General features: G+C 40.8%; 1 protein-coding gene and 1 long non-coding RNA gene across 5 annotated transcripts in view, besides 1 other annotated feature; both read right to left on the bottom strand.

Annotated features, from left to right (window-relative positions):
* Positions 1-1,616: 1,616 nt before the first annotated feature.
* LOC105379358 (uncharacterized) lies at positions 1,617-8,392 on the bottom strand. Of its 2 annotated transcripts, none has more exons than XR_007060883.1 (2): positions 7,834-8,392; positions 1,617-7,509 (listed from the first exon to the last, which is right to left on the bottom strand). It is a non-coding gene; the product is annotated as an uncharacterized LOC105379358 (long non-coding RNA). The 2 variants fall into 2 exon arrangements; XR_007060884.1 differs by having other exon boundaries at positions 1,617-7,379.
* A 936-nt stretch (positions 8,393-9,328) lies between these two features.
* The window catches only part of WRN (WRN RecQ like helicase), a 142,329-nt gene continuing 137,850 nt past the window's right edge, over positions 9,329-13,807 (bottom strand). For all 3 annotated transcript variants that reach the window (NM_000553.6, XM_011544639.4, XM_011544640.2), the window contains one exon: positions 9,329-12,472. In NM_000553.6, the coding sequence (NP_000544.2) occupies positions 12,365-12,472 (108 nt within the window). In that variant the 3' untranslated portion in view covers positions 9,329-12,364. The remainder of the gene's footprint in view (positions 12,473-13,807) is intronic.
* Positions 12,219-13,418: an enhancer, noted in NCBI's record as "MED14-independent group 3 enhancer chr8:31029565-31030764 (GRCh37/hg19 assembly coordinates)". NCBI's record gives its function as "activates an origin of replication core promoter dependent on BRD2, BRD4, P300/CBP and CDK7 cofactors, and independent of MED14, by STARR-seq in HCT116 cells {active_cell/tissue: HCT116}" and the evidence as "EXISTENCE:reporter gene assay evidence [ECO:0000049][PMID:35650434]".

Here is a 13,807-nt window from a genome sequence, read left to right as displayed (position 1 = left end):
AAAGAGGTAAAAAGTTCAGTTCCTCTCTGTGTGAGAATGAGTCTAATTAGGGAAAAAGCCGAAAGGCTTTTGGTGGATGCTTAAAACAGTATACAATTCACGCGAGTCATTAAAAATAATAAACTGTCCCTATTAAGACCCAAAACAAAGAGAGTCTAGGGGGCTTGCCAAATCCCACCCACATCTTCTCTAAGGGTTACAGAGTTCCAGCAGCCACCGTCCTCCTTGTTCCTCTTGCAAGTTCAGCGCTTCCTCCGCATCTTAAATGTCCCTCCCCTTACTCAGTAAGCTTTGGAGGAAATTTAAAGTAATTTTTATTCTGTGACTTTCAGACTGTGATTTACCAGATAACTAATTCATGAGCCAGAATATTTCATGAACTTTCGGTTATTTGATTATTCCAGTTATGTTCTTTAAAGGTTCTGCAATGCCCATATCTTGTATCCGTTGTTCATGAAAAGCAAGCATTACTCTGGCACCTCAAGAAATCTAGCCCCGTGCCCTTAATTAAACATGAAAATTATCTAACTGCCCTTTCTTTGACCAAACCAGTAGGCAGCCTTCAGACTATAACGTGGCTTCCCGGATAGCTTTTCTATGGGCAAAGGATGAGAACAGCTGGCTTTTATTATTCCTGCGCTGTGCTAAATGCTGCACCACATTCAATTCTCCAACGACTTTAGCTAAGTTTCTATTTCCTCTTACACACAATGGTGTTAATAAAAGAGACTTACAGTGGATCGACTTGCTCAAAGTTGCAGTTACATGTGGTCAAACCCAGGCTAATTCCAGAGCTCAACCCTCACTCTCTCAGCAAGGCGTTTCCTGTCCCAAATTGAAATAGTCCAAACCCCTTCCCTGCTGTGTCCTCCTATCGCTTTACCACCATCTAAGGAAGAATGTTTCACTTTTTTTGTTCATTGCTGTATTCCAGCACCTACAACAACAGTGCCTGGCACATAGTAAGTGCTCAATAAATATTTGTTGAATATTTACTTCTGTCTCTGTCAACTTGGATAATGAGTCTGAATCTGCACCTGTAAGAAGGATCCACTTGGGGTGCTGACACCCGATTTTTAATCAAGGTCAGTAAAGGGCCACACACCGGACTGCTGTGATTTTGCCAAGTATTATCTAGAGAGACAGGCTGCTTCTCTCTGGACACCCAGCCACTGACGCTGTGCCTTTTCTGTCTGCTAATTCCATAGCGACAGCTGAGTGAATACCAACCATGTGTGACAGCAATTGTTAAATGGTCTACAGGCATTGTGTCTAATCCCAGCAACGTCTCTGCATGTTACAAACGAGGCTCAGAGTGTCTAAGTAATTTGTCCAAAGTCCCCTAGCTAGGAGATGGCAGAGCTGTGGCCTTTACTGAATGTGTGGCTGACTGCTGAGGTCCAGGGGTAGTAATAAAGGGATGCTGTGTGGGAGACCAGATACAACCTGGACATCTTAACAGAGGCCAACATGAAGGGTAACTGGTCCAAGGACCAGATGGGATTGCGGATCTCAGTGGATACCTGCCTAGGAGGCAGAGATGATGAGGGTCCCTGTGCGTCCCTAGTTGCCAAAGCTTTGACCAGAATCCCGAAGCACTTAGGCATCCCCATTCATTGATTTATTCATGTTTATTTATTCAGCAGTTATTTACTGAGTTCCTGCTGTGTGCCAGGCATTTCTCCAGGTGCTAAAGACACAGCAGTGAACAAAACAGACAAGAATCCCCGCTGTCAAGGAGCTTCCAGTCTAGTAGAGGGAGATCATCTATCAACATCATAAATAAGTATTGGAACAGGTAAGAGAGAATGGGACAAGGTATGGAGATTTTAAGTAAGTTACTCATGGTATAGTTCAATAAACTAGGAGTTGGCGGGGTTTGCCTGTGGTTATCTGGGGGAACAGCACAGCAGGTGAAAAGAGCAGTCAGGGCAAATGCATGTTACTTGGGCAGCACTAGTTGGTGAAATCACATTCTCCCCTAAGACACAGCATGCCTGGTGTCTTCCAGAAACAGTACAGGGTCTGGTATGGGTGAAGCAAAGGGAAGGACAGGGAGATGGAGTGACAGCAAGATGGTAGAAGATGAGCCCGAGAGGGACTGAGGACAGATCCCAGCAGGGCTTGCAGGCCTCTGTCGGAGCTTCAGGAGGAGGGGGAAACTTGAAGTGATCCAGCCTACCCAAAATACACCAAGATGACATTTTTTTTTTTTTTTTTTTTTTTTTTTTTTTACTATCAGGAGGAATTGGGGTTTAAAATAAGAGATTTCTGGGCAGGTATGGTGGCTCACACCTGCAATCCCGGCACTTTAGGAGGCCAAGGTGGGAGGATCACTTGAGGCCAAGAGTTCAAGACTAGCCTGGGCAGTACAGCAAGATCCTATGTCTACACAGAATTTAAAAATCAGCTAGGAGTGGTGGTATGCGCCTGTAGTCCCAGCTACTCAGGATGCTGAGATAAGAGGACTGCTTGAGCCCAGGAGTTCAAGGCTGCAGTGAGCTATGATTGTGCCACTGCAACTCCAGCTTGGGCAACAGAGCGAGACCCTATCTCTAAAAAATAAATAAAATAAAAGTGACTTCTGAGATATGGAAAGTAAAAGCAACATTTTTGAGTCGTTGAATTTGAAGCTTGTGGAATTCTATCTACCACGTACATAAAGGTAATATTTTACTTTTATTTTGCAAAATGTCTACGAGGGAAGAAAATCTTTCCCCCTACAAAATCCACACATAGCTCTGATAAGCAGTTCTAATAAGCTTGTTAGTCACGGTGTTCACTAAATAGCTTTTCGTTGTTGGGTTGTTTGGGTTTTTGTTTTGTTGCAATTTCATAAATTTAGCACCACTATGGGACGCTGGCACCAACATGTGATAAAAACATTGACTTAAGTTTCTTTTCTCATGTCTGCTTTTGCAGTTTAATAGTTTGGAATGGACACCAAATGAGTCATTAATGGATAAGTGGGGATCTCCCTCTCTGAAGAAAATGTTCATGCCTGTTATTTTGTAACAAACGAACATGGATATGAATCATGGAGAAAAACATATTGCTATGTGGCTGTTTGTCTAGACCACTGGGTCTCACCACCTGTTGAGTTGGTATTGGATCACTTGACCCCAGGAGTTTGAAACCAGCCTAGGCAACATAGTGAGACCCCGTCTCTAAAAAAAAAAAAATTGTTTTGTTTTTAATTAGCCAGGCATGGTCGTGTGCACCTGTGGTCCCAGCTACTCAGGAGGCTGAGGCAGGAAGAACATTTGAGTCCAAGAGTTTGAGACTGCAGTGAACCAAGATCATGCCACTGCACTCCAGCCTGGGTGACAGAGTGAGACCCTCTCTCCAAAAAATAAAAATAAAAAAGAGTTGGTATTGAATGAATGGTGTGTGGCTGTAGTCAGACAAACTTAGTGAGAAGATGAGGAAGGCAAAAAAACAAAAACAGTAAGCAAAAATAACGGTAAAATATATTGGTCCACTATATCAATATTGACTAAAAAAACATACATTTTTGTCTTTAAAAAGTGGAAGTAAAATTGTAAATAACAGAAAACTAGGAATTATTGTATACACAGAAAACCAGGAAGGAAACATTCAGAGAACAGTGGAAACTCGTTGAGGTCCTCGTGTCCAAGAGAACAGACAGGCCCACCTCTAATATATTTTTGGGACCCAAGACAAAGGAACAAATGGAAGCCTAAATATGAAATATATAAATATGTCAGGCTAACCCCATTTCAATACATTCTAGCCTCCTACCTAGACAAATACATAACAACCTGTAAGACCAGATTTGAATTTCAAATGCTCGGATTCCTTAGGATTCTGTCCTGTTGGTGCAGGGAGAATCAGCCCATGGACACAACCCACTCCTCCTCCTCTGGCTTCACTCTGCACCACCAAGAGGCTCCTGTGCATACGGACACTCGGCCTGGACATCAAGTCTTGTCCATAACCTCTGCAAACAACCATTCTTTGATCGTCTTTTGTTGGAGGCCGAAAGAGTGAGGGTCGTGATCAACTCAGTAAATCACTGGTGGCTGTGTAAGTAAGCAGCAAACTGTTCTCATGAAAGCAGGTTGTTAGCAAACTGACAAACTGCATCTGCCGCCCAGAAGGAATGCTGAGGGCAGTCATGCCCAGGCGCAAGTGTTTCTTGTGATCAGGCACATCTGAAGCCTGTTAGCAATAATATGAACCTGTGATCAATCCAGCAGCTGACCAATCATTACCTCCTCCTCCCTGCTCTTTCTACTCAATAAATACGAAGGGCTGTAGAAGCTCAGGGTGGCTGCCTTTGCTCATTAGAAGCAGGGAGCCCTCTTCTTCTTCCCTCGGCCCCTCTCATTAAAAGTTACTTTTGTCTTAAGTTTTCATTTCTGCATTCATCCCCCTTCATTCAGTCTCGTAGTAACTGTCACAATCTTTCAGACCAAGAAACGAACTCATCAGATGGGGAAACAAGGCCAGAAGCCCCTGCAGCCCCTGGAGGCTCACGAGTGTTTGGGCCAGGCATTCTGGGGTCCTGTGTACTGCAAGCATGGTCTAGAGGATGGAGACAGGTGTGAGCTAGTGAGCACATCCCCTGGCCCCAAGGATTCTTCATCTCATGGAAAAGGTGGAGGACGTCTTCTCTTGAAGGCTCAGCTGCTGGAGAGTTTAGCGGACGTAGGTAGTCAGGTCCATGGCAGCACCAGGATGAGCACCCACTGGTGTCATAGAGTTCTCCCAGCCTCAGTGCTGGAAAGGATTCGGTCCACCTATTCAGCTTTTCCTTGATTCTTTGGGGGCCAAGAAGATCTAACATACTCTAGGAAACCAGGACCAAAAGTTCCCTTGAGGTCCAAGAATCTCCTTAAAATCCTTCACGTTCATATCCTTGCCCTGGGGCTTTCCAGCCCTCCAGCCAGCACCCTAACATCCTGCTTGCCTGCCAGTCCTGGGCATCAAGAGATGGCTCAAGAGAGGTGTATGGAGGCTGACATTCAGAATGGAGAGAAAGCAAATGTAATGGTTGCCCATCATCCCAGAAAGCCTGGCCCACTATATATTTTTTAAAAGCAGGGCCATGTGTTGTGGCTCATGCCTGCAATCCCAGTGCTTTGGGAGGCTGAGGCCAAGAGTTTGAGACTCTTCCGGGCAACACAGGAAGACCCCATCTCTACAAAAATATTAGCTGGGTATGAAGGCACATGCCTGTCATCTCAGTACTCAGAGGCTGAGGCTAGTTGATTGCTTGAGTCCAGGAGTTTGAGACTGCAGTGAGCTATGATCACACCACTGCACTTCAGTCTAGTGAGAGTGAGACCCTGCCTCTAAAAATAAATAAACAAATAAATAGGCTGGGCATGGTGGCTCATGCCTGTAATCCCAGCTCTTTGAAAGGTCAAGGCGGGAGAATCACTTGATCCTAGGAGCTCACAACCAGCCTGGACAACATAGGAAGATCCCATCTCTATTTTTAAAAAAGTTTTTAAAATTTAAAATAATAAATGCAATATACATTTGATTTAACAGAGATTATAGAAACTTAAACAGCTGGCCCTTCCACCCTTCTAATTGAGGTGGGAGGATCACTTAATCCCAGGAGTTTGAGACCAGCCTGGGTAACAAAGGGAGTCCCTGTCTCTATTTTTTATAGAGTTCTTAAAATTTTAACTAAAAGAATAAATGCAATATATATTGATTTAAAAGACATGGAGATTATAAAAATGTAAATAGCCCTTTCCACCTTTCCAATTCCACTCCCCTAAAATAACAAATGTTAATGATTAGGAGTGTTTCAGTCCATAACTTTAAAAAAAAAAAAAGCGCAAATCTTTCACATGATCTCCTCTTTTTTTCATTCAGAGAGTCCATTTTTTCTCATATCTTATTATGTGAAGTAAATGTTTTCTTTTTTTCTTTTTTCTTTTTTTTTTTTTTGAGTCGGAGTCTCGCTCTGTTGCCCAGGCTGGAGCACAATGGCCTGATCTCAGCTCACTGCAACCTCTGCCTCCCAGGTTCAAGCGATTCTCCTGCCTCAGCCTCCTGAGTAGCTGGGATCACAGGCACACACCACCACGCCAGGCTAATTTTTGTATTTTTAGTAGAGACACAGTTTCACCATACTGGCCAGTCTGGTTTCGAACTTCTGACCTCGTGATGCACCCGCCTCGCCCTCCCAAAGTGCTGGGATTACAGGCGTAAGCCACCGCGCCCGGCTGAAGTAAATGTTTTCTTTAAAATGTTTTGTTTCTTGTAGAAAAGTTGTTTGTGGATGTTTTTTCATTGAATCTTCAGAGTAAATCTGTCCCTCTTAAGCATGAGATCTGTGTTGCATTTTCTTCCATTTATTCCATCTTTCGTGTGTCTAGCATGTTGTCTTGCATGCTACAAATGCAAATGTTTACTGAATGAAGACATAAATAAGTATAATACATACTTGTCAATTTTTAAACATTGAGTTAGAAAATAAAGCTGATTATGAGGCTAAAGTTTAATTAATTTTCTGAGACATAATTAAAGCTCTGGGTTTTAATGAATCGATATTAATAGAATATAGTAATTGTAGTAATTTAGTACTGATTAAGAGTAACCTATTAGATATCTTTCTCTTGCAAGTGAAATCTGTTTAAATACTTCTATGCAATAACAAAGTTAAACATTCATATGAAATATCTCCAATAATAAAGGCAAATACCTTTCAAATGGCAGGGTTTCTACTTAAAAATCACAAGCAGATACTAATTTTTCAATGATATATTTTACATTGGAGTCACAAGAGTAATCTGTTACTTGAGTAGGATAAATTATCTCAAGCATTACAAATGCTTAAATATCAAATATGTACTTATTAGTCCTTAATCCTAAAACATAACTACCAAAGGTTTAATTTATTCTATATTCTACTTATGTCTACATTTTCTCAAGGTTTAAACACATTTACCCAGTAAGGAAACAAGTACATTATCTCAAATGATTTAGGGATTATGTTCCCAACCAAAATCTGGTAAATAACTTTTCAGATAGCTGAGACTGCTGAAGTCAGCTACCCCATCAAGGCTATAACTAACCTTCTTCACTGTTTCTGTGGTTTTGCAATTCTTTTCCATAAGACACTTCAAGTCTATTACACTCAAAAACTACTTTGAGTTCATTCCATTGGATCGTTCATGCTCTTAATTATATGCAACCTATTTGAATAGGAAGAATCCTATATTCTTTTCTTATTCTATCTGGTAGGGCTACAGCTTTTTTGAATTCCAGGCAACAGTCAGGGCTTTGTCTGAATCTATGGTCACAGGCTACACCTGGGGAATTCGCCTTCAGCTCACCTGTTCCTGTAGTAAATATTCCGTAACGTGCCGAGGTCCTTCTGGCCCAGCTACTTGCACCTGGTGATCAGGCAGGTACAATGAGCCAGAGCCTCCAAACACACTCAGGTGGTAGGGAGCGAAACTTAGAAGATAAGTTGGTGCAAAAGTAATTGCTGTTTTTACCTTTAAAGTCCCGCCCCCGCCGGACCTGGAAAAGGATGGAGAGGGGGTCTCGTCTGACTCCGCCCCCCAAGGGGAGGGAGATTTGCCTCTGAGCATGGGAAGCATGACCAGGTTTGGATCTAGGGTGCTGGGGTCCTGGTGGAGCTCCAGTGGGCCCCCTCCCTGCACCCCTGCGATTCATCCAACCTCCCTACACCCTCAAATGACAAGTTCAGCCCCCCAAAACCCCCGGTGACGAGTCCAGCCGTGCTCCCATTCTTCACAAAGGGTGAGGACGGACTTTCAAAGACTCAGAGATCCCACGGGTGTGGGTTGGAGACCTTCCTCTACCGGTTCCCAGCTCCCTTACCTGAGCACACGACTTATGCGCCATTTAATTTTCCATAAGAAATCGCTCTCATGTACTTGTTCTGTGCCATTACTTCTAATGGCAAAAACACCAGTTACTTTTGTTACCAGTGGAGGGTGTCCAGGCTCTTGGTGTCTTGAACTAAGAACTGAACAAAATGCACAAAGCAAGGAAAGAATGAAGCAAAAAAAGCATGCATTTACTGAAAATAAAGTACCCTTCACAGGCTCCAGGACTCAAGAACCAATTAGAGGCTTAAGTGAAACAACCAATCAGAGGATGAATAAAAATTTAAATAGCCCTTCCACCCTTCCACCACTTCCACCACTTCCACCACTTTGTGAAGTCACAACAGGTACACCCTATGCAAGCATCTGATTGGTTGTGGAAAGCAACCAATCAGAGGCTAAAGTGAAGTTACAAAGTTACATTTCTATGCAGGCGACTTGGCCTGCGATCCGTCTGATTGGTTACAAAGTTACATTCCTACGCAGAAGCAACCAGAGATACTTTCAATTTTCCATGTGCCACGCAGAAAGGTGTGGGGGAGGGGCAGTTGAAAGGGAGGAGCCATCTGGTACTTTTGTTATTTAGGTCTGGAAAATTGGGGTTTTCCTTTTGATTTAGTTCTAGGAAGTCAGTGTGAATCGGCCTTAGTTTCCTTGCCTCCAGACCCTATTCTCCTGCCTCACTTTTGCACCAACCTCATACAACAACCCATACAGAACTTGAAGATCCAGGAAGCCTCTGCCTCCATCCAGGAGCCGCTTCATCCTCTACTCGGTGTAACTATCTCTGAGATTCCACATCCTTTGAGATTAAAAACACTTTACATCTTCTGGGTCTGTTGACGGGTCCTTCCACCAATCACATCGCTGTGCTTCTGTGACAACTGAACACAACTGGAAGTGAAAAACAACTCCTCATTCAAAGGGGTTTAACGTAAGTAAAGGGAAGTTAATGTCCCATGTTTCTGAAATATTCAGAGGTAGGGCTCATTTCAGGAAAGGCATGAACCAGCAGCTCAGTTGGCCACACACCTACCCCAGATCCAAACGCTGTTACTAGGGTCTAGCTCAGAAGAGGTCACAGGTGCCAATCCAATATCCAGATGGAAATTATTCTCCTTGGAACGAACCCCAACAAAAATCAAGAGTCACGAAAAATGGGGAAAGAGAGAATTTATGCTGGGAAGGCATAAAGTCCACTACAGATAACATAACAACAACAACAAAATTCTCTCTCTCCCCCTCTGGCTATGATATGGTATGAGACTATACCATATTTCATTTCAAGAATGTTCAAAGCAGCTGGGCATAGTGGTGCACGCCTATAGTCCCAGCTACTCAGGAGGCTGAAGCAGAAGTATCACATGAGCCCAGGAATTCAAGGCTATAGCATGCTATGATCATGTCTGTGAATAGCCACTGCACTCCAACCTGGGCAACACAGCAAGACCCTGACTCATTTTTTAAAAAAGGTCAAAGCAGTGCTGTTTAAAACAAAAAAACTGAAAGCAACTTTAATGTCCAACAATATGAAGTAAGGTACATAATTCATGGTACACCTTTATAATAAAACATTACATCAGCATTTCTCAATCTCTTAGGTCTGAGAACCCTTCCATACTCTTAAAAAAAAATCACTGAGGACCCCAAAGAGCTTTTATTAATATGGGTTATATCTATCACTACCACTTTAGAAATTAAAACAGACATTTAAAAATGTTTCTTGTTTTATTTAAAAATAGCAGTAGTAAACCAAGTACACATTAACATAAATACTTTTAAAAAACATATTTTTAAAAACTGAGAACAGCAGCATTGTTTACATTTTGCAAATCTCATTGTCTGGCTTAACAAAAGTGGCTGTATTCTCAGATCTACTTCTGCATTCAATCCATTTTGATATGCTGTTTTGGCTGAAGTATATGAAAAAAATCTGACTTTGCACAGGCACGTAGTTGGAAAAGAGAAGAGTATTTTAATAGCCTGTTCAGATAATGGTGGACATTGTTCTCTGAAATTTTACCAAAAAGTGGACAAGTAATAGTTTCTTAAAGATTAGTTGCAGTGTGTAATCTGAAACTATATCAATAAACTTTTTCATACTCTGTTATATTCAAATATATCAAATCCATTGGTCCATCTTGTACTCTGAACAGATCTTTTACCCAGTCATGATTTCTTTTTTTATTTTTGAGACGGAGTCTTGCTCTGTCGCCAGGCTGGGGTGCAGTGGCGCAGTCTCAGCTCACTGCAATCTCCGCCTCCTGAGTTCAAGCGATTCTCCTGCCTCAGCCTCCCGAGTAGCTGGGATTATAGGCACGCACCAACACACCCAGCTAATTTTTGTATTTTTAGTAGAGACGGGGTTTCACCATGTTGGCCAGGGTGGTCTCGATCTCCTGATCTCGTGATCCGCCCGCCTCGGCCTCCCAAAGTGCTGGGATTACAGGCGTGAGCCACCGCGCCCGGCCTCAGTCATGATTTCTTAACATCACATATTAGTCATCCAGAACATACTGATTCACTGAGTTATACGGATCTTCGAAACACAGAAAAAATCTTTATATAATATCAAAAACTCACATTTGTTAATTACTATCCATCTCATTAGAAAAGGCTTTATGTAAGGCTGTGCATGGTGGCTCACACCTGTAATCCCACTATTTTGGGGGACTGAGGCGGGAGGACTGCTTGAAAGAAAGAAAAAGAGAAAGAAAAAGAAAGAAAGAGAGAGAGAGAGAGAAAGAAAGAAAGAAAGAGAAAGAAAAAGAAAGGAGGGAGGGAGGGAGGGAGGGAGGGAGGGAGGAAGGAAGGAAGGAAGGAAGGAAGGGGAAGGGAAGGGAAGGAAGGAAAGAGAGAAAGAAGAAGAGGAAGAGGAAGAAGAAGGAGGAGGAGGAGGAAGGAAGGAAGAAGGAAGAAGGAGAAGAAGAAGAATCAGAAGAAGAATTAGTAGTAGTAGTAGTGAAAGCGAAGAGAAAGAGAAGTCTTTATGTTAAGGAAAGCTGTCAAGCTTCCAGTGGAGGAACACAACTTTTCCAAAATTATACATTTTGCTAGAAATCTCCAATTTTATCATTGGCACAACAAATACCAGTTGTTTTCCGTGAAGAGGCCAACTTAGTTCAATTTTGAGAAAATGTCTGCCAAACATCCAAATCTAATAACCAATCATCGTTTTTCATTAGTCATTCTTTTCAGTGAAAATGGCAAGCCATGAAAAAAAGCAGCAAATTCAATTGGCAACTCAAATAATCAAACAAGTGCTTCTCCTGGAGACAGCCTCGTACCTAGGCATGCAGCAGACGTGTCTGTGCGTACTTGCCACTCCATCACACAGGATATTCACAGGGTATTGCAGATGCACACACAAAAGCATGCAAATGCAGAAGCCATGGCTGGACAACAACATATCACATATTTAATAGGCGCCACTACCTTCTGGTAATGCAATGCAGAAAAATGGGAATATACGAGACTTTTATATTTTAACTAAAAACAAATGAATATAAAAAAGTCTGGTGGGATACACAAAAGAGGTTGACTGTGATTAGCTACTAGTAAAACTATGAATGATTTTTATTTTCATTTTTCTCACTTCCCTGGATTTTCTAGTTCTTCTATGACAGATATATTTGTTTCTTAACAAGTTATTTTTATTTACAAAAAAGCCAATCAAAGGCTTTGAAATGGATGGTGAACTGCTTAAAGTTAAATAATCATCGTTTACCCAACTCTGTGTCACAGTATAGGTTTTAAATTAAGTCACATGTGCTACATAAGAGAGATTAGAATCAAATTCTGACATCCTGGAAAAATAAAGGTACTTAAAATAATTAAGTAAATGAAAGCTAAAAAATATATATATAATATTCAGTATGAAAAACATTGTTTTATTACTTGAAAAATAATAGAAATTGTATATAAAATACAAAATATACACTTGCCTAGTGCAATTGGTCTCCATTTTACATTTTTTACATGTTTTTTCCCTATTTAATGGCACCCAAAATGCGGTTTCATTTTCACTGCCCTGGTCAACTAATACCATTTAACAACGTATTTAAGAACTTCTTCAAAAGACAGTAAAAACAATTTGTAAAATAACTATGCTTTCTTACATTTACAAAACAGAATTTTGATAATATATGAATATTTTATATCACATAATTACCATGTAACTACTAATCTGTTATCTATATCAAATCAGAGCACATAACATTTTCCAAATACACTGTTTTAATAAAGAGATTAGAAAACAGGACAGTAACAGTTTCTTAAAGCAATCTTACAGGAAGTCTAATTTAATATTCTGTTAGGTGATGTACTCACGTAGGCTCCCAGAAGACCCAGAAACTACATGAATTGCGGAAGGCTGATTTAAGATGCCAGTTCTTCAATAAACAGTGAACTTTGTAATTAGAATGATTTTTAAGCCAAAATACTACTCCTTACTCTTCAGAAATAAAATATAGCTATCCTCTTATAATACAGCAAGAAACATAATTGTTCTGGTAATTGCCAGCTTAACTAAAAAGACCTCCCCTTTTCGTTTTGTCCATTAATTTCTTGCTGGTATCACTTCCTTTGGCAAACCACACAGGTAATCGTCTCTTTCTCTCTGCAGATGAAGTCTGTAGGAAATAGAAAGAAAAAGAAATCAAATCTTTGTACTACTGAGAAGGGGTATTAGTTGCAAAAAAGTAACATAAGTTCCTGAATACACACCCATCCTTTCTCCCCCATCCAAACAAAATAGTGGTATCTATATAATTTATTTCTGGATCAAAAAGTAAATAAATATAAGACACACAAAATCACTACATCATTTCTTCAGGCAATTACTTGCCATCTCATCATGTAGTCTTATACACTCAACACACCTCATTCAGTAAGTAAAAATCTGGACATTATTTCAGATCTGTGTCCCATGGTGTACTTGCTTTGAGTTGACCAAAATGGTGAATTTAATGTTCTGAGGAAGGAACATGCCTGGGCATGTATACATACACAAAGAGTTATATTAGGCATGTGAAAAGAATATAGCTTCTAACATCTACAACGGTAGGTAGACAGACTGGTCCAATCAGCACCCTGTAGAGTGGCCAAGGCATAGTACGCTTAACAAACATTCGCTAAATAAATGAAAAAAATAAAAGTTTCTTGTCTCATAGACTCATCTAAGAATCACTACAGATCCACTTCCCAGAAAAAAAGAGAAACATACACGTGCACAACACTTTCACACACATTTCAGCAGCTCACGTGCCAAAGAGCCTCTAACCCTCAGGTTAAACATCCTTGAAAAAAAAATAATTTAAGGCTGGGTGAGGTGGCTCACGCCTGCAATCCCAACACTTTGGCAGGATCACTGGAGCCCAGGAGGTCAAGGCTGTAGTGAGCTATAATCACGCCACTGCACTCCAGCCTGAGCAGAGTAAGACCCTGTCTCAAAAACACACACACAGGCACACACACACACACACACAAAGGTAGTGTTTGGGTACAATACCATCTGCACATGAAAAAAAATTAAATAATTTAAGTAGCTAAGTGTTTCATAAGCCTAAAGTGTCATACACTTATGTTATCTCAGAGTACTAGATCCTCAGGATAACATGACAGAGAAATCATTCCATCATGAGTACACCCTGGAATCCAGAGTTAATTTGGTTATTATTAATAAAAGTAACTGAGGGATTTTATGAGAAGGTTGGCCTTATCTAAGGTACAAGGTGTCTGTTAGCCTAAAATACAAAAATACCATTTATTCCATTTCAATAATGAAGACTATCTAGATATTGTTCATCAGCTGCTTGCTATGTTTGATTATATTCCCTATGTTTAAAAAAGGCTTTGAAATATTTAACAGTAGGAAAACAGCAAAAGATCCTTGGCAGAAGACTCTGAAACTTTATATTTAAAAAAGGTAAAAACTTAGCTGTTCCAGCTTAAGTACAGAAATCCAG

Source organism: Homo sapiens, chromosome 8, assembly GCF_000001405.40.
Source record: "Homo sapiens chromosome 8, GRCh38.p14 Primary Assembly".
Taxonomy (NCBI): Eukaryota; Metazoa; Chordata; class Mammalia; order Primates; family Hominidae; genus Homo; species Homo sapiens.
This window is presented reverse-complemented; position numbering and strand designations above follow the sequence as displayed.